The 19,912-nt window shown below is 44.9% G+C and overlaps 1 annotated feature.

The window, feature by feature from the left end:
* Nucleotides 10,939-11,221: a silencer, noted in NCBI's record as "fragment chr16:3470303-3470585 (GRCh37/hg19 assembly coordinates)". NCBI's record gives its function as "represses an EF-1alpha promoter that drives an FKBP-Casp9 reporter gene in an ReSE screen in HepG2 liver carcinoma cells {active_cell/tissue: HepG2}" and the evidence as "EXISTENCE:reporter gene assay evidence [ECO:0000049][PMID:32094911]".

Raw genomic sequence — 19,912 nt, forward strand, 5'->3', positions numbered from 1 at the left:
TTTCAAGGCAAAGTTAATTGGAAAATAGATCCCTCATATTCTTTCTGTAATTACTAGCTGTTTATAGCAAAGGATGAATTAAATGAGAATATGCACGTTTGTGCGAGAAGAGTTTCCAAGTAGTTAGATGGTGCTTTTACAAAAAGAAAAGAAAATTACATTTGAGGGATCTTTTTTGTATCAAAGCACCTTTTTTTTTTCCTTTTTATTTTTTGAGACAGGGTCTCGCTATGTTGCCCAGGCTGGTCTCGAACTCCTGGGCTCAAGCAATGCTCCTGCCTTGGCATCCCAAAGTGCTGGGATTGCAAGTGTGAACCACCGTGCCTGTTCTCAAAGCACCTTTGATTGAGAAAAAAAAAATCTACACAGTTGCTGCAACCCCAGCCTAACACATAAGGAAAAGCTACAGTGAGAAGCAAGTAGTGGACAAAGAGTACTAAGGAGATATAAAAGGGAATTCTTCCCACTCTCCTTTCTCACTTAGCCCATTAGCTTTAAGAATAACAAAATGCAATGGGGGTACAGTGGCTCACACATGTAATCCTAGCACTTTGAGAGGCTGAGGCAGGGTGATCGAGCCCAGGAGTTTGAGACCAGCCTGGGCAATGTAGCTAAATCCTGTCTCTACAAAAAATACAAAAATTAGCCAGGCATGATGGTGCATGCCTATAATCCCAGCTAGCTACTCTTGGAGGCTGAGGCAAAAGTATTGTTTGAGCCCAGGAGTTAGAGGCTGCAGTGAGCTATGATTGCACCACTCCACTCTAGCCTGGATGACAGAGTGAGACTCTGTCTCAGGAAAAAAAAAAAATAGCAAAAGGATTGGGGTAATGAAAATATTCTAAGACTGGATTACAGTGATGGTTGCACAACTCAGTAAATTTACTAAAAATAATTGAAATGGGCTAATTTTATGATATGTAAATTGTACCTCAACAGCGTATTTTTAAGTGACAAAATATATTTATATAAAATGAGCCCTGGAAATAAGCCTGAGCGATCATCTAATGCCACCTCCTCGTTTTCTCAAAGCGGAAATTAAAATGCAAATCAGTATACAATTCCTAGCTCATTGCTCAGTTTAGAGAAAACTTTTGGCAGATTAGTGCATTCCTGATGCAGAAAATAAGAAGCAAGTAGCATTTTTTTTTTTTGAGACAGGGTCTCACTCTGTTGCCCAGGCTAGAGTGCACTGGCGTGATCATGCCTCACTATAGCTTCGATCTTCTGGGCTCAAGCAATCCTCCCTCCTCAGCCTCCCGAGCAGTTGGGACTACAGGAATGCACCACCATGCCTGGCTAATTTTTCTATTTTTTTGTAGAGACAGAGTCTCACTGTGTTGCCCAGTCTATCCTCGAACTCCTGGGCTCAAGCCATCCTCTCACTTTAGACTCCCAAAGTGCTGGGATTACAGATGTACGCTCAGCAAGGTAGCATTCTTCACAAAACATCAGTATCATCAAGTAACTACCAGTCACCTCAGGGCTGTGGGCTGAGCTCTTCTGTACCCCCCAAGGAATCTCTTGTCCCTTCTAACTGCCGAGGGACATATGCACACCTATGAGTCCTCTTTGGGGCCTTTGCACACAATTGTTTCCTTTGCCTTTATTTCCTGATGCTCCCCACTCCCTCCTGCCTCCTCCCTCTCACAAGAGTTTCCTTCTCTCAAAGCCTTCCCTGAGGAGCCCTAGGCAGACTTCTGTGAAAATTGGGGTCCAGCCTCTCTGCTAGACCCCATACACCAGGGGTGCTCAAACTGGGAGCCCCCCAGGGGTTGTCGGACAAAGTCCAAAGACACTTTTGGTTGTTAGGACTGGGGAAGGGAGGCTTGTTGCTGGCCTCTAGTGGGTTCTACTGAACCGCCTGCAGTGCCGGGACAGCCAGCCCCCACAGCAATGACCTGGCTCAAAAAATCAGTATCACCAAGGCTGGGAAACTACCATGCACTATAACAGCTCTTTCAAAACAAGAACATTGTTTTTCCATAACTTTAGCTTCTGGACTTTGTCAATAACCAGCCAAGAGAAACAGATGTTCAGTATGTGAACAGTTGAGAATCCCCACTGTACCCACAGGGCCCATGTCTGCCTGAGTTCAGAGATCCTGGTGACAATCTGTTGAATGCACAGGTGAGCTTCTGTCTTTTGGGCAGAGGCTTATTGAAGGCCCAGTGGCCTTCCTTACAGCTTTTGTGGTCCTTTAGGTACTTTAGGCCCTGATCCCATTCCCATCTGTTATGTTAGATCATGAAGAATTTAGCTTCTGTATCCGAGCTGCCCCATACCTGGCTCCATCCTGATACCTCTCCCTGGTCAAGGCCTCTTTCTTCCTCATTGTGTTTCCACCTCACCCTACTGAAACCAGGCTGATTTCACTGTTGTCCCTTAATAACCTCCAAGTCATAGTCACATCTGTATTAGGTACTTTGTGGTGTGGTAACAGATGACCCACCAGCTTAATGGTTTAAAACAACACAAACTGGGGCCGGGCGTGGTGGCTCACACCTGTAATCCCAGCACTTTGGGAGGCCAAGGTTGTGAAAAGTTCACCTGAGGTCAGAAGTTCAAGATCAGCCTGGCCAATATGGTGAAAGCCTGTCTCTACTAAAAATACAAAAATTAACCGGATGTGGTGGTGCACGCCTATAATCCCAGCTACTCGGGAGGCTGAGGCAGAAGAATCACTTGAACATGGGAGGCAGAGGCTGCAGTGGGCCGAGATTGTGCCACTGCACTCCAGCCTGGGCAGCAAGAGTGAAACTTGGACTCAAAAAACAAAAACAAACAAAAAAACACAAAAAGCAAAAAAACCGCCGGGCACGGTGGCTCACGCCTGTAATCCCAGCACTTTGGGAGGCCGAGGTGGGTGGATCACGAGGTCAGAAGATCGAGACCATCCTGGCTAACACAGTGAAACCCCGTCTCTACTAAAAATACAAAAAAAATTAGCTGGGCGTGGTGGCAGGCACCTGTAGTCCCAGCTACTCAGGAGGCTGAGGCAGGAGAGTGGCGTGAACCCAGGAGGTGGAGCTTGCAGTGAGCCGAGTTTGCACCACTGCACTCCAGAGCCTGGGCTACAGAGCAAGACTCCGTCTCAAAAAAAAAAAAAAAAAAAAAAAAAAAAAACCCACAACCTTATCGTTCTAGAGGTCAGAAATCTGAAATTGATTTCACTCAGCCAAAATCAAGCTGTCGGCAAGGCTGGTTCCTCTGAAGGCTCTGAGGGGTGAATCTCTTGCCTTGACTTTTTCAGCTTCTAACAGCCACCCACATCCTTTGGCCTCCACCCTCAAAGTGCATCACTCCAATCTCATTCCACCGCATTCTCCTCTGACTATGACCTTCCTGCTTGCCTTGTATAAGGACCGTTATGATGTTGGGCCCACCGGCATAATCCAGAATAATCTCCCTATCTCAAGATCCTTAACTTAATAACATCTGCAAAGCCCCTTTTGCCATATAAGGTAAACTTAATGGGTTCCAAGTATTAGGATGTGGACACATTTGGGGTGCCATGACTCAACCCACCGCACATATCCATCTTGAATCAAGTTAGTCAAAGAGCATCTCTCCTAAAAGAGAAGGACCATAGATTTCTACTTAATTATAAGGGTTGGGGTCAGGCGCAGTGGCTCACACCTGCAATCCCAGGACTTTGGGAGGCCGAGGCAGGCGGATCATTTGAGGCCAGGAGTTCAAAACCAGCCTGGCCAACATGGTGAAATCCTGTCTGTACCAAAAAAAAAAAAAAAAAAAAGAATTAGCCGCGTGTGGTGGTGTGCGCCTGTAGTCCCAGCTACTCACGAGGCTGAGGCATGAGAATCTCTTGAACCCGGGAGGCGAGGCTGAAGGAAGGTAGAGGTTGCAGTGAGCTGAGATCGCACCATTGCACTCCAGCCTGGGCAACAGACCATCCCCAAGCATAGCCTTCCTTTGGTATAAGGCTCAACTCCAGGCCAAGAGGACCAGGAAGGGTCCAATGGCTACAAGAACCCAAGGTCCTGTACTCAGATGTAAGTTTCCTCTCAGCCCCCGTACCCATGCATGGTCTGCCAGAGGACCTCAGCTGCTCCAATAGATTGTGATTCTCCGTATCCACCAGTCTGTCTCTACAAATTTTGGGGTGGCTGTTTGCCCTGTGACCTCACTTCTCTTACAGAAGAATTGTTGGGTTTTTCGGGTTGTTCAGCTTTTTATTTGTCATTAGAATGGAGTGACAACTTTCAAGCTCCTTATATTTGCAACCAGAGACTGGAAGTCACAAGAGTGAAACACCGTCTCAAAAAAAAGAAAACAGCAGTGAGACAGTGACTCCCTGACCTCACTGGCTAGATGAATTCCTCTTAAACCTTCTCAAAGCAAAACATGGCTCTACTTGGCTGCAGTTGCCCTCTCAATGCAGATCGCAACGAAACCCTCTCAATGCAGATCTCTGCCTTCCCGCCTCAACACTGCACCCGGGAGCCCTCCTCCAAGGGTCAGTGCCCGATAGGTTTGAGGGCAAGCCCCCGCCAGGGTGAAGCCGCCTCCTCCTCTGGGCCTGGGACGTGCTGGGAGGGAGGGAACGCGGTCCCCCGGGGAGTCACATGCCCCCATTCCCGGGGTCACCCAGGGACAACGGGCAGGAATAGACAGGTAAGGACCCTGCAGCTGAGCGAGCCCTGTGGCCGGATGTTCCAGGTAGGCTTTTCCGGAAATCGCCACCGGAGGATAGAACGCTCCTAGGGTGAGGGGCGGGGCCTCGACAGGAAATACCTGAAAGAGTCCCCTCTGAGTGGGCTGCTTGGCGCCCAGCCCGAGGAATTCTCACCTTCCATTGCCTGGCACAGCTGTCAGGGTGAAGAGGAGGCCGGGCAGCCACGGAGCCCTCTGGGAATTGTGGTTTTCGTGGGCTCCACGTACTGCTGAGCTGTTGCTTGCCTGAGACTGTTGAACCTCAAAGGGTGTCCTGGGGTTCATTCATTAAGCTTGTTCACGCAAATGACAAATATTTATTGACTGTCCACAACACGCCAGGCACCAATAGGGGCTGGAGGCAATATGGTGAACCCGGACGATGCTCATGGTCTCTTAGAAAGCCCAGTCTCCAGGCCGGGCGCGGTGGTTCACGCCTGTAATCCCAGTACTTTGGGAGGCTGAGGTGGGCGGATCACCTGAGGTCAAGAGTTCGAGACCAGCCTGGCCTACATGGTGAAACCTCGTCTCTAACAAAAATATAAAAAAAAAAAAAAAAAAAAAAAAAAAAAAATTAGCTGGGCGTGGTGGCGTGCGCTTATAGTCCCAGCTACTCAGGGAGGCTGAGGCAGGAGAATTGCTTGAACCCAGGAGGCGGAAGTTGCAGTGAGCTAAGATCACACCACGGCACTCCAGCCTGGGTGACAGAGGGAGACTGTATCTCGGGGGAAAAAAAAAAGAAAAAAGAAAAAAGCCTAGTCTCCAGCAAGGAACACATCTGAATCAAATAATTACACAAAGGCAAAACTGCAACCACACAGCTCCTAAAAGAAATGTTAAAACAGAAATGGCACAATAACAAGTGACTGAGGAAGGATCTAATTTATAAAGATAGAAAGGTTTTTGTTTTGTTTCGTTTTGTTTTTTTGTTATGTTTTGTGTTTTGTTTTTGAGATGGAGTTTCGTTATTGTTGCCCAGGCTGGAGCGCAATGGCGCGATCTCAGCTCACCGCAACTGCCGCCTCCTGGGTTCAAGCAATTCTCCTGCCTCAGCCTCCCGAGTAGCTGGGATTACACACAACCGGCCAATTTTGTATTTTTAGTAGAGACAGGGTTTCTCCATGTTGGTTAGGCTGGTCTCAAATGGGTGATCTACCCGCCTTGGCCTCCCAAGGTGCAGGGATTACAGGCGTGAGCCACTACGCCCAGCCAAAGGTAGGAAGGTCTTTATGCCACCCCCAAACATTCTCTTGCCAGGGCGATCACTTGATGACGACAGCGATTCCTCACAGAGATACAACTGACAGCACATCTGCTTTGACTAGCATATTCGAGATAGACCCTATGATTATCTTCCTGGCATTTGAGGAGACTGAGATTCAATAATGTTTCTGGAGTTTGTACAGCTCATAGGAAGTTGAGAGATGTAACAACACACCTCCAGTGCACCTTCCATCCTGTCTCCTACTGCCTGCCCAACATACCCTACAACCTGGTCCTATATTTTCTGATGTGTGAAATGTGATGATAATGGTGAAATAATCCAGGAAAAGTGCTTAGCATAGGAGGGCTGGCATAGGACCCGCACTTGAATGGTGTTAGCCACTTTTATAACTATTCTAATTACCTCTCTGATTCTCTACTCTGATTTAACTATTATTTTTAACCCAAGCACCCATCCTCTCTTCTCCTTCTTCTCTTTTTTGAGGTAGGGTCTCACTCTGTTGCCCAGGCTGGAGTACAGTGGTACAATCATGGTTCACTGTAGCCCTGAACTCCTGGACTCAAGTGATCCTTCCTTCACACTTAATCCCTGTGATTTTGGTAGAACTGATACCAACTCCAGGACAGCACATGAGAATCCAACCTGAACAGTCTACTCCATCTTCCTGGCCACAGCGTGTACAACACTTAAGATGTACAACATGATATTCTGATATACATATACATAGTGAAATGATTAATATAGTCAAGCAAATTAACATATCCATCTCCTCACACAGTTACCTTAAATTTTTTTCCTCTAGTAAGAATACCTGAAATGTACTCTTATCAAATTTCCAGTACTATATCATTAAGTATAATCATCATATTGTACATCAGCTTTCTAGACTTAGTCATCCTATATAACTGCAACTTTATACCCTCTCACCTACATTTCCCCATTTCCTCCCCCGCCCCCGCCCCCACCACCATTCTACTCTGTTTTTTGTTGGTTTTTTTGGTGAGGATGCAGTCTCGCTCTGTTGCCCAGGCTGGAGTGCAGTGGTGCGATCTCAGTTCACTGCAACCTCCACCTCCCAGGTTCAAGCAAATCTCCTGCCTCAGCCTCCCAAGTAGCTGGGATTACAGGCATGCTGCCACCATGCCCGGCTAATTTTTGTATTTTTAGTAGAGATGGAGTTTCACCATGTTGCCCAGGCTGGTCTCGAACTCCTGACCTGAGGTGATCTGCCTGCTTCGACCTCCCAAAGTGCTGGGGTTACAGGCATGAGCTACCGCACCCACCCTACTCTGCTTTTATGTATTTGACTTTTTTAGATTTTGTATATAAGTGGGATCATGTAGTATTTTTTCTTTCTATGTCTAGCTTACTTCAGTTAGCACAAAGTCCAACAGGTTCATTCATGTTGTTGAAAATGGTAGAATCTTTTTTTTTTTTTTTTTTTTTTGAGACAGAGTCTTGCTCTGTCACCCAGGCTGGAGTGTAGTGGTGCAATCATAGCTCACTGCAGTCACTTGACCTCCCGGAATCAAGTCGTCCTCCCGCCTCAGCCTCCCAAGTAGCTAGGACTACAGGCGTGTGCCATCACACGTGGCTTATTTTGTAAAACATTTTTTTCTGTAGACACGGGGTCTCACTATGTTACCCAGGCTGGTCTCAAACTCCTGGGCTCAAGCAGTCCACCCACCTTGGCCTCCCAAAGTGCTGGGATTACAGGGGTAAGCCACTGCACCTGGCAGATAGATCTCCTTTTTAAGGCTGAATAATGTTCCGCTCTGTGTGTGTGTGTGTGTGTGTGTGTGTGTGTGTATCCATTTATCTACCAGTGGACACTTAGGTTGTTTTCAAGTCTTGGCTACTGTGAATAACGTACCTTAGTTGTATACAGTATCCTCACAGATATTGCAGTTTTGATTCCAGACCCCTACAATAAAGTGAATGTCCCAATAAAATGAGCCACACAAATGTTTTGATTTCCTGGTGAATATAAAACCTATGTTTACACTATACTGTAGTCTATTAAGTGTGGAAAAGCATTACATCAGATAAACAAAATGCTGATAAGTGTGGTGGCTGCAGAGGGTTGGGGTGGCAGGGACAATTTCTTAAAATAACAATGAAGTTTTTCAAATCAGTTGACTCTTCCTTTCACAAAAGATTTCTCCATAGCATGTGATACAGGGTGATAGCATTTTGTCCACAGTAGAACTTTCAAAATCTTCTCAAATCCTGCTGCTCCTTCATTAACTAAGTTTATGTAATATTCTAAATCCTATTGTCATTTCAACAACATTCACAGCATCTTTACCAAGAGTAGATTCCATCTCAAAAAAACACTTTTGGGCTGTGCAAGTGGCTCATGTCTGTAATCCCAGCAATCTGGGAGACCAAGGTGGGAGGACTGCTCTCTGAGCCCAGGAGTTAACACAGGGAAGACCCCAACTCTACAAAACAATTAAAAAATTAGCTGGGCATGGTGGTGCATGCCTGTAGTCCCAGCTACTTGGGAGCCTGAGGTGGGAGGATCACTTGAGCCTAGGAGGTTGAGGCTGCAGTGAGTTGTGATTGTGCCATTTGTACTTCAGCCAGAGTGACAGAGCAAGACCCTGTCTCAAAAAACAAAATGGTTGGGTGTCATGGCTCATACCTGTAATCCTAGCAATTTGGGAGGCTGAGGCACCCAGATCACTTGAGGTCAGGAGTTCCAGACAAGCCTGGCCAACATGGCAAAACCCATCTCCACAAAAATAGAAAAATTAGCTGGGTGTGGTGGCGTGCTCCTGTACTCCCAGCTACTCAGGAGGCTGAGGCAGGAGAATCGCTTGAATCCAGGAGTTGGAGGTTGCAGTGAGCTGAGATCACGCCACTGCACTCCAGCCTGGGAAACACAGTGAGACTGTCTCAAAAAAAACAAAAACAAAAGCAAAAACAAAACAAAACCAAACACTTATGGTTGGGAGCAGTGTCTCATGCCTGTAATCCCAGCACTTTGGGAGGCTGAGGTGGGAGGATCACTTGAGCCCAGGAGTTCAAGACCAGCCTGGGCAACATATCAAGTCCCCATCGCTACAGAGAAAAACATTTTTTTTTGAGACAGAGTCTTGCTGTGTCACCAGGCTGGAGTTCAGTGGTGCAACCTTGGCTCACGGCAACCTCCACCTCCCAGGCTCAAGCAATTCTCCTGCCTCGGCCTCCTGAGTAGCTGGGACTACAGGCACATGCCACCACGCCCGGCAAATTTTTTGTATTTTTAGTAAAGACAGGGTTTTACCGTGTTAGCCAGGATGGTCTTGATCTCCTTACCTTGTGATCTGCCTGCCTTGGCCTCCCAAAGTGTTGGTATTACAGGCGTGAGCCACCACACCCAGCCTACAGAAAAATTTAAAAAATTGGACAAGTGTGGTGGCACATGCTGTAGTCTCAGCTGCTTGGGAGGCCAAGGCAGGAGGATTACTTGAGCCCAGGAGCTAGGCTGCAATGAATTATGATTGTACCACTGCAGTCTAGTCTGGGGGAGTGAGAGCCCATCTCAAAAAAATAAAATGAAATAAAGAGAAGAATGAAATTACTCTTTGATCCATGGGCTGCAGAATAAATGTTGTGTTAGCAGGCATGAAAACATTAACTTCCTTGTATATCTCCATCAGAGCTCTTGGTTGTCCAGGTGCATTGTAATAAACTGTAATATTTGGAAAGGAATATTTTTTTTTCTGAGCAGTAGGTCTCAACAATGGGCTTAAAATATTCAGCAAACCATGCTGTAAACACATAGGTTGTCATCCAGTCTTTGTTGTTCAACTGATAGAGCACAGGCAGAATAAACATAATTCTTAAGGGCTTCAGGATTTTTCAGAATGGTAAATGAGAACTGGCTTCACCAACGGCATTCACCCCAACAAAAGAGTCAGCCTGCCCTTTAAGGCTTTGAAGCCAGGCATTGACTTCTCCTCTCTAGCTACAAAAGTCTTAGATGGCATCTTTCCCCAATAGCAGGCTGTTTTGTCTACATTGAAAATCTGTTCTTATTGTAGCCACTTTCATCAATGATCTTAGCTAGATCTTCTGGATAACATGCTGCAGTTTCTCCATCAGCACTTGAAGCTTCACCTTGCACTTTTATATTATGGAGATGGCTTTTCTCCTTAAACCTCATGAACCAACTTTTGTTACTTCCCAACATTTCTTCTGCACCTTCTTCACCTCTCTCAGCCTTCACAGAACTGAAGAGAGTTTGGGCCTTGCTCTGGATTAGGCTTTAGTTTAAGGGAATGTTGTGGCTGGTTTGATCTTCTATCCACACCACTCAAACTTGCCCCATATCAGCAAAAAGACTGTTTCACTTTTTTATCATTCATGTGTTCACTGGAGTAGCACTTTAAATTTCCTTCAAGAACTTTTCCTTTGAATTCACAATTTGGTTAAACATTTGGCACAAGAAACCTAGCTTTTGGCCTGTCTCAGGTTTTGACATGCCTTTCTCACTAAGCTTAATCATTTCTACCTTTTGATTTAAAGTGAGAGATGGGCCAAGGGGTGGTTCATGCCTGTAATCTCAGCACTTTGGGAGGCTGGGGTGGGTGGATCACAAGGTCAAGAGTTGGAGACCAACCTGGCCAACATGGTGAAACCCCATCTCTACTAATAATACAAAAATTAGCCAGGAGTGGTGGTGCACACCTGTAGTCCTAGCTACTCAGGAGGCTGAGGCAGGAGAATCGCTTGAACCTGGAAGGCAGAGGATGTAGTGAGCCAAGATCACGACACTGCACTCCAGCCTGGGCGACAGAGCGAGACTCCATCTCCAAAAATAAATAAATAAAGTGAGAGATGTGTGACTCTTCCTTTCACTTGAACACTTAGAGGTCATCGTAGAGTTATTAAGTGGTCTAATGTCAATATTTTTGTGTCTCAGGGAAAAGGGAGGTCCAAGGAGAGGAAGAGCGATGGGAGTATGGCTGGTCAGTGGAACAGTATTGAAAGTTCCATGCAGGCTGGGTGCGGTGGCTCATGCCTGTAATCCCAGCACTTTGGGAGGCCAAGGTGGGCAGATCATGAGGTCAGGAGTTCGAGACCAGCCTGGACAATATGACAAAACCCCGTCTCTACTAAAAATACAAAAATTAGCCGGGCATGCTGGCATGCACCTGTAGTCCCAGCTACTCGGGAGGCTGAGGCAGGAGAATCGCTTGAACCGGGGAGGCAGAGGTTGCAGTGAACTGAGGTCCTACCACTGCACTGCAGCAGGGGTTGACAGAGTGAGACTCCATCAAAAAAAAGAAAGAAAGAAACACAGAAAGAGAGAGAGACGAAAGAAAGAGAGAGAGAGAGAGAGAGAGAAAGAAAGAAAGAAAGAAAGAAAGAAAGAAAGAAAGAAAGAAAGAAAGAAAGAAAGAAAGAAAGTTCCGTGCAGTATTTTCTGTTCCTGCCAGTAGTTTCTGGCCTCCAACTCCATCGATATTCCTGCAAAAGACATGATCTCATTCTTTTTTATGGCTGCACGGTATTTCATGGTGTATATGTACGTTTTCTTTATCCAGTCGTCACTGATGGGCCTTTGATTCCACGTCTTTGTTATTGTGAATGGTGCTGCTGTGAACATTCATGTGCATGTGTCTTTACAAGAGAATGATTTATATTTCTCTGGGTACATACCCAGTAATGGGATTGTGGGGTCAAACTGTAGTTCTCTTTTTAGCACTTTGAGGAATCGCCATACTGCTCTCCACAATGGTTGGGCGAAATTTATACTCCCACTAACAGTGTATAAGTGTTCCCTTTTCTCTGCAATCTTGCCAGCATATTTTTTGACTTTTTAATAACAGCCATTATCACTGGTGTGAGATGGTATCTCATTATGGTTTTGATTTGCATTTCTTTAATGATTAGTGATATTGAGCTTTTTTTCTTATGATTGTTGGTTGCATGTATGTCTTCTTTTGAAAATTGTCTGTTCATGTCCTTTGCCTACTTTTTAATGGGGTTGTTTTTCTCTTGCAAATTTGTTTACATTCCTTATAGATGCTGGATATTAGACCTTTGTCAGACGCATATTTGCAAATATTTTCTTCCATTCTGGAGGTTGTCTGTTTACTCTGTTGATAGTTTCTTTTGCTGTGCAGAGGAAGCTCTTTAGTTCAATTAGGTCCCATGTCTCAATTTTTGCTTTTGTTGCAATTGCTTTTGGAGTCTTTGTCATGAAATATTTTCGATCCTATGTCCAAGACGGTATTGCCTCGGTTGTCTTCTAGGGTTTTTATAGCTTTGGATTTTACATTTAAGTCTTTAATCCATCTTGAGTTGATTTTTGTATATGGTGTAAAGAAGGGGTCCAGTTTCAATCTTCTGCATATGGCTAGCCAATTATCCCAGCACCATTTATTGAACAGGGATTCCCTCCACCCACACACCATTGCTTGTTTTTGTCAGCTTTATTGAAGATCAGATGATCTTAGGAGTGTGGCCTTATTTCTGGTCTCTCTATTCTGTTCCATTGGCCTATGTGCCTGTTTTTGTACCAGTACCATGCTGTTTTGGTTACTGTAGCCCTGTAGGACAGTTTGAAGTCAGGTAATGTGATGCCTCCAACTTTGTTCTTTTTGCTTAGGATTGCCTTGGCTATTCAGGCTCTTTTTGGTTCCATGTGAATTTTTTTTTTTTTTTTTTGAGACAGAGTCTTGCTCTGTTGCCCAGGCTGGAGTGCAGTGGCGCAATCTTGGCTCACTGCAAGCTCCGCCTCTCGGGTTCATGCCATTCTTCTGCCTCAGCCTCATGTGTAGCTGGGACTACAGGCACCTGCCACCATGCCCAGCTAATTTTTTTTTTTTTGGTATTTTTAGTAAAGATGGGGTTTCGCCGTGTTAGCCAGGATGGTCTCAATCTCCTGATCTCGTAATCTGCCCATCTCGGCCTCCCAAAGTGCTGGGATTACAGGTGTGAGTCACCGCAGCCAGCTGGTTCCATGTGAATTTTAAAATAGTTTTTTATAATTCTATGAAGAATGTCATTGGTAGTTTGATAGGAATAGCATTGAATCTACAAATTGCTTTGGGCAATATGTCCATTTTAATGATATTTATTCTTCCAATCCATGAGCATGGGATGTTTTTCCATTTGTGTCATCTCTGATTTATTTCAGCTGTGTGCTGTAATTCTCATTGTAGGGATCTTTCACCTCCCTAGTTAGCTGTATTCCTAGGTATTTTATATACTTATTTATTTTTTTGAGATGGAATCTTGCTGGGATTACAGGTGTGAGCCTCCATGCACGGCTTGGTATTTTATTCTTTTTGTGGCAATTGTGAATGGGATTGCCTTCCTGATTTGACTCTCGGCTTGGCTGTTGTATGTGCATAGGAATGCCGGTAATTTTTGTACATTGACTTTGTATCCTGAAACTTTGCTGAAGTTGTTTATCAGCTGAAGGAACTTTTGGGCTGAGACAATGGGGTTTCCTAGATAGAAACATGTCATCTGCAAACAGGGAGAGTCTGACTTCTTTTCTTCCTATTTGGATGCCTTTTCTTTCTTTCTCTTGCCTCATTATTCTGGCCAGGACTTCCAATACTACGTTGAATAAAAGTGGTGAGAGAGGGCATTATTGACTTGTGCCAGTTTTCAAAGGGAATCCATCCTGCTTTTCCTCATTCAATGTGTTGGTTATTTTATGTTTTCTTTAGAAAAATGTCCATTCAAATTCATTGCCCATTTTTTAATTGGGCTATTTGGTTAATTTGTTTTTGAGTTGTGTGAGTTCCTCATATATTTGATGACTTTATCAGATATATTATTTGCAGGTATTTTCTTTTAATCCATAGTCTACCTTTTCATTTTGTTGACTGCCTCCTTTGCTTTGCAGCAGTTTTATAGCTTGATGTAATCCTACTTGTTTCTTGTGTCTTGCTTTGTTTTTTTTTTTGCCTCAGCTTTTGGTGTGATATTCAAAAAATCATTGCTGGCTGAGTGCAGTGGGTTACATTTGCAATCCCAGCACTTTGGGAGGCTGAGGCAGGCGGATCACCTGAGGTCAGGAGTTCGAGACCAGCCTGGCCAACATGGCAAAACCCCGTCTCTACTAAAAGTACAAAAATTAGCTGGGTATGGTGGTACACACTGTAATCCCAGCTACTTGGGAGGCTGAGGCAGGAGAATTGCTTGAGCCCGAGAGGTGGAGGTTGCAGTGAGTCAAGATAGCACCACTGCACTCCAGCTGGGTGAGACAGAGCAAGACTCTGTCTCAAAAACAAAAAACAAAAACAACAACAAACAAAACATAAAATAAAAAATAAGGAAAGATTTACTATTGATATTTTGTTACTTATTTCTGTTAGTCTTATAGTCCTTCTGTCCCTTTCTCTTGCTGTTTTCTTTTGTATTTCACTGTTTTTTTTTTTTTTTTTTTTTTGAGATGGAGTCTTGCTCTGTCACCCAGGCTGGAGGGCAATGGCACAATCTCGGCTCACTGCAACCTTCGCCTTCTGGTTCAAGCAATTCTCCTGCCTCAGCCTTCCAAGTAGCTGGGATTACAAGTGTGCAGCACCACACCTGGCTAATTTTTCTATTTTTAGTAGAGATGGGGTTTTGCCATGTTGGACAGGCTAGTCTCGAACTCCTGGCCTATGTTTTCATTATTTTCTCCTTTTCTTTAATTCTATAGGCATTTTCTTTGTAGTTACCAAGTGTTTACATAAAATCTCTTATAATAGTCTACTTTAAGCTGATAACAACTTAACTTCCCTTGCATGTCAGAACTTTGCTTTTATCTCTCTTCCCCTGGCTTATATGCTATTGATATCACCACTAACACCTATTTATATTGTACCAATTAACATAATATAGTTGTTTTACTACTTTTGTCTTTTAACTTTTATAAGAGAACTAAAATTGATTTACCCACTACTGTTATAGTAATACACTATTGGTTTTGACTATATATTTACCTTTGCCAATGAGTTTCATACTTCGTGTGCTCCTGTTACTGTTTTCCATACTTTTGTTTTAACCTTAAGAACTCTCTTTAGCATTTCTTATAAGGCAGGTCTAGTGGTGATAATCTCCCTCAGCTTTTGTTTGAGAAAGTCTTTATTTCCCTCTCATTTTTGAAGTATGGGTTTGTTGGATATAGCATTCTTGACTGGAAGTTTTTTTCTTTCAGCACTTTGTATCTATTGTCCCACTCCTTTCTGGCCCACAAGGTTTATGCTGGAAACTCTGTTAATAGTTTTATTAGGGGACCCTTGTACACAGAAGTTGCTTTTCCCTTGGCTGCTTTCAAAATTCTGTCTCTAACTTTTGACAATTTGATTGTAATGTATGTCAGTGTGGATCTCTTTGGATTCATCTTATTTTTTTTTTTTTTGAGACAGTCTCGCTCTGTCGCTCAGGCTGGAGTGCTATGGCATGATCTAGGCTCACTGCAACCTCCACCTCCCAGGTTCAAGCCATTCTCCTGCCTCAGCCTCCTGAGTAGCTGGCATTACAGGCACATGCCACCGCGCGCGGCTAATTTTTATATTTTTAGCAGAGACGGGGTTTCACCATGTTGGCCAGGCTGGTCTCGAACTCCTGACCTCAAGTGATCCACCTGCCTCGGCCTCCCAAAGGGCTGGGATTACAGGCATGAGCCACCGCACCTGGCAGGATTCATCTTATTTCATGTCCCTTGGACTTCTTGGGTCTTGATTTCTATTTCATTCCCCAGTTTTGGAAGGGTTTCAGCCACTGTTTGTTTGAATATGCTTTCTGTCCGTTTTGCTCTCTCTGCCTTCTGAAAATCCACTAATGCATACATTAGTCTACTCGATGGTGTCCCTTAAGTACCTTAATCTATCCTCACTCTTTCTTTTTTTCTCATTTTTGCCCCTCTGGTTGGATAATTTCCAATGGCTGGTCTTCAAATTCACTGACTCTTTTTTCTGCTTGACCTAGTCTGTGAGTGAAACCCTCTAGAGAATTTTTCAGATGAGTTATTATGTACTTCAGATCTATAACTTCTGTTTGGTATGTTTTTAAATTTTCTCCTTTTTCTGAGACAGGGTCTCACTCAGTCACCCAGGCTGGAGTGCAGTGGTGTGATAACAGCTCACTGCAGCCTTGGCATCCCAGGCTGAAGTGATCCTCCCACCTCAGCCCCCAGAGGAGCTGGGACCACAGGCGTATGCCACCATGCCAGGCTAATTTTTAATTTTTTGTAGACATGGGGTCTTACTATGTAAACCAGGCTGGTCTTGAACTCCTAACCTCAAGCAATCCTCCCACCTTGGCCTCCCAAAGTGCTGGGATGACAGTGTGAGCCACCATGCCAACCCTTGTTTTTGTATTTTCTCTTTGTTGAAAGTCTCGGTTTGTTCATACATTATACTCCTGACATCAGTGAGCATATTTATGATTATTTTTAATTCTCTTTTTTTTTTTTTGAGAGGACGTTTTGCTCTGTTGCCTAGGCTGGAGTGCAATGACACGATCTTGGTTCACTGCAACCTCCACCTCCCAGGTTCAAGCGATTCTCCTGTCTCAGCCTTCCGAGTAGCTGGGATTACAGGTGCCCGCCACCACGCCTGGCTGATTTCTGTATTTTTAGTAGAGATGAGGTTTCACCATGTTGGCCAGGCTAGTCTCGAACATCTGACCTCAGGTGATCCACCCGCCTCGGTCTCCCACAGTGCTAGGATTACAGGCATGAGCCACTGCACCCAGCCTATTTTTAATTCTCTAATAGGTAAAATCACTGATCTGTATTTCATTGGAATTGGTTTCTGGAGATTTCTTCATCTTTTGTTTGGAACGTATTTTCTATTTCTTGATTTTTTTGTTGACTGTGTTGATTTTCATGCATTAGATAAGACAACTCTCTTTCCAAGTCTTAATATCTGATTTTTCGTAGGAGATGAACCTCACCAATCAACCCAACCAGATTCTAGGCACCTCTCAAACTTTTGTGCTTGTACAAACTGCTGTCTTTGTTCTTAGTAGCCCCAAGAGATTGGGGTGCACCAAATGCCATCAGTGCCCCAAGACTGGTGATATTGAAGCCAGTTACTGAAATTTAGCTAGAAAAGTTGGGGTGTTATATGTGTTCCAGTTCCTTCTATCCTCAAGGAGAAGCTGGGAACTGGTGTTGATCTCCCACTTGCCCTGTACTAAGCTGGGGAGATAATCCCAAGCAAATGCCTGCATTCTCATTCAGACCACATACTCTTTCAACCCATTGCCTAATGTGTTGTTACCCCCAGGGGCCTAGTCAATTGCAGCTCCCATCTACTGTCCAGGACAGATGGATTGTTCAGAGGCTTGGCTCCATCTCTAGAGTGAGCCTGCAAAAGGAATTGCGGGAAGCAACTGCATGCCCATTCAGGCTCCCAGAGGACTACTTATTGCCTGCCCTGTCAGTGCCCAGATATAGGCTAGAGGCCTGACTCATGGACAGCGGCTGGGAAAGTTGGGACGTTAGGTGTGCAGTCAAACCCCTTCCTGGGGGTAAACTGGGAACTGGGTGTTTTTGTCTGCTCGCTTTGTACTGAGTTAGGGGAAACGGATGCTAGAACTGCTCAAACACTCTTTTAAAATCACTTTTCTTCTCTGTAGTCTAGGGGGACTTGTGAATGCAGTCTTATCAATTCCCAGAGACAGATGATTTAGGAGCTTAGAAGCTGGTCCCTTGGGTGGAAGCTGTAAAAGTTGGGGTACACTGTCCAGGAAGAAGCTAGAAGCCTAGTTTTTTTTTGTTTTGTTGTTTTATTTTTGAGACAGAGTCTCACTCTGTCACCCAGGCAGAAGTAGAGTGGCACAATCTCAGCTCACTGCCACCTCTGCCTCCTGAGTTCAAGCCATTCTCCTGCCTCAGCCTCCGGAGTAGCTGGGATTACAGGTGCACCTCCCTGACAACCCCCAACCATGCCCAGGTAACTTTTTGTATTTTTTAACAGAGAGAGGGTTTCACCATGTTGACCAGGCTGGTCTTGAACTCCTGACCTCCACTGATCCACCTGCCTTGGCCACCCAAAGTGCTGGGATTACAGGGGTGAGCCACCGTGCCTGGCCCCTAGTTTTATCTCTGAATGGAGTAGTGGCAGAGGGGAGAACGACAGTGAAGTTCCCACATGCCTGTTCATGCTCCTGGAGGTCTATTGTTTACCAGCCCTATCAGCTACTCGATGTAGGCTACTTAGAAGCCCAGCGTTCAGGCAGCAGTTGGGAAAAATGTGTAGATAAATCCCTTTTAGGGAGACTGTGGAACTGCTTTTTTAAATTCTTTTGTTTCTTTTCTTTTTTTTTAGAGACAGGGTCTCACTCTGCCACCTAGGCTGTAACGCAGTGGCTCCATCATAGCTCAGTGCAACCCTGAATCTTGGGCTCAAGCGATCATCCTGCCTCAGCATCCTGAGTAGCTAGGACTATAGGCATATGTCACCACACCTGGCTAATTAAAAAAAATTTTTTTTTGTTTTGGTAGAGGCAGGGTGTTTGTATGTTCCCCAGGCTGTTTTCAAACTCCTGGCCTCAAGTGATCCTCTGCCTCAGCATCTCAAAGCACTGGGATTACAGGCATGAGCCATGGTGCCCAGCAGATGGTGCATTTCTGCCTGCTTGCTCTGCACTGACCCTGGGGGACAGCCGCTGAAAGTGCTCACATACCTGTTTAAAATGTCCTCTTATGGCTGGGCATGGTGGCTCACACCTGTAATCCCAGCACTTTGGGAGGCTGAGGCGGGTGGATCACAAGATCAGGAGATCGAGACCATCCTAACACTGTGAAACCCCATCTCTACTAAAAATACAAAAAATTAGCCAGGCATGGTGGCAAGTGCCTGTAGTCCCAGCTACTCGAGAGGCTGAGGCAGGAGAATCGCTTGAACCCAGGAGGCAGAGGTTGCAGTGAGTTGAGATTGCGCCACTGCACTCCAACCTGGGCAACAGAGAGAGACTCTGTCTCAAAAAAAACAAACAAACAAAAAAAAAAAACCCCACAAAATTAGCTGGGCATGGTGGTGTGCGCCTGTAATCCCGCCTACTCTATAGCCTAAGGCAGGAGAATCGCTTGAGCCCAGGAGGCGGAAGTTGCAGTAAGCCAATATTGTGCCATTGCACTACAACCTGGGTGAAAAAAGCAAAACTCTGTCTCTAAATAAATAAATAAATAAATAAATAAATAAAATGTCCTTTTTTCTCAGGGGACTCACAAATACTAAACCCTGCCATTCCCGGGATAAGAAGATTTAGGAGCCAAACTCTCACGTGGAAACTGTTTAAGTTTGGGAGCGATATGTCTGGCCTCAACCCTTCATTCTTCAAAAATCTGGTATTTCGGGATTCCTTCCCAATTGTAAGATACTGTGCCCAGGTTTTTGGTTTACATTGTGTCTCAATTTGTTGGTATCCATTTTGATGTGGATATATTATCAGTTGCCAGTGTGTGGGAGTCTCAACTAGTTTCTATATTTCTCTCAGAGAGAACTGATCCATGTGTAGATACTTATTCAGTGCATCCATGGAAGGAAAGAAAGTCAGGAGTCTCCCATTCTGTATCTTGTTGATGCCCAATCAGTGAAATGAAACTTTTTTTTTGGGCAGGGAGGGAGTTCTCATTCTGTCACCCAGGGTGAGTACGGTGGAACAATCACAGCTCACTACAGCCTCCACCCAGGCTCAAGTGATCCTATCACCTTAGCCTCCTGAGTAGCTGGGACTACAGGCATGTGCCACTACGCCCGGCTTTTTTTTTTTTTTTTTCAGACAGAGTCTCCCTTTGTCCCCCAGGCTGGAGTGCAGTGGCGCGATCTTGGCTCACTGCAACCTCCACCTCCTGGGTTCAAGCAATTCTCCTGTGTCAGCCTCCCAAGTAGCTGGGACTACAGGTGCGTGCCACCATGACCAGCTATTTTTGTTTTGTATTTTTAGTAGAGATGGGGTTTCACCATGTTGGCCAGGATGGTCTCAATCTCTTGACCCCGTGATCTGCCTGCCTTGGTCTCCCAAAGGGCTGGGATTACAGGCGTGAGCCACTGTGCCCGGCCTAAT

The sequence above is a fragment of the Homo sapiens genome, chromosome 16 (genome assembly GCF_000001405.40).
Source record: "Homo sapiens chromosome 16, GRCh38.p14 Primary Assembly".
Classification (NCBI taxonomy): Eukaryota; Metazoa; Chordata; class Mammalia; order Primates; family Hominidae; genus Homo; species Homo sapiens.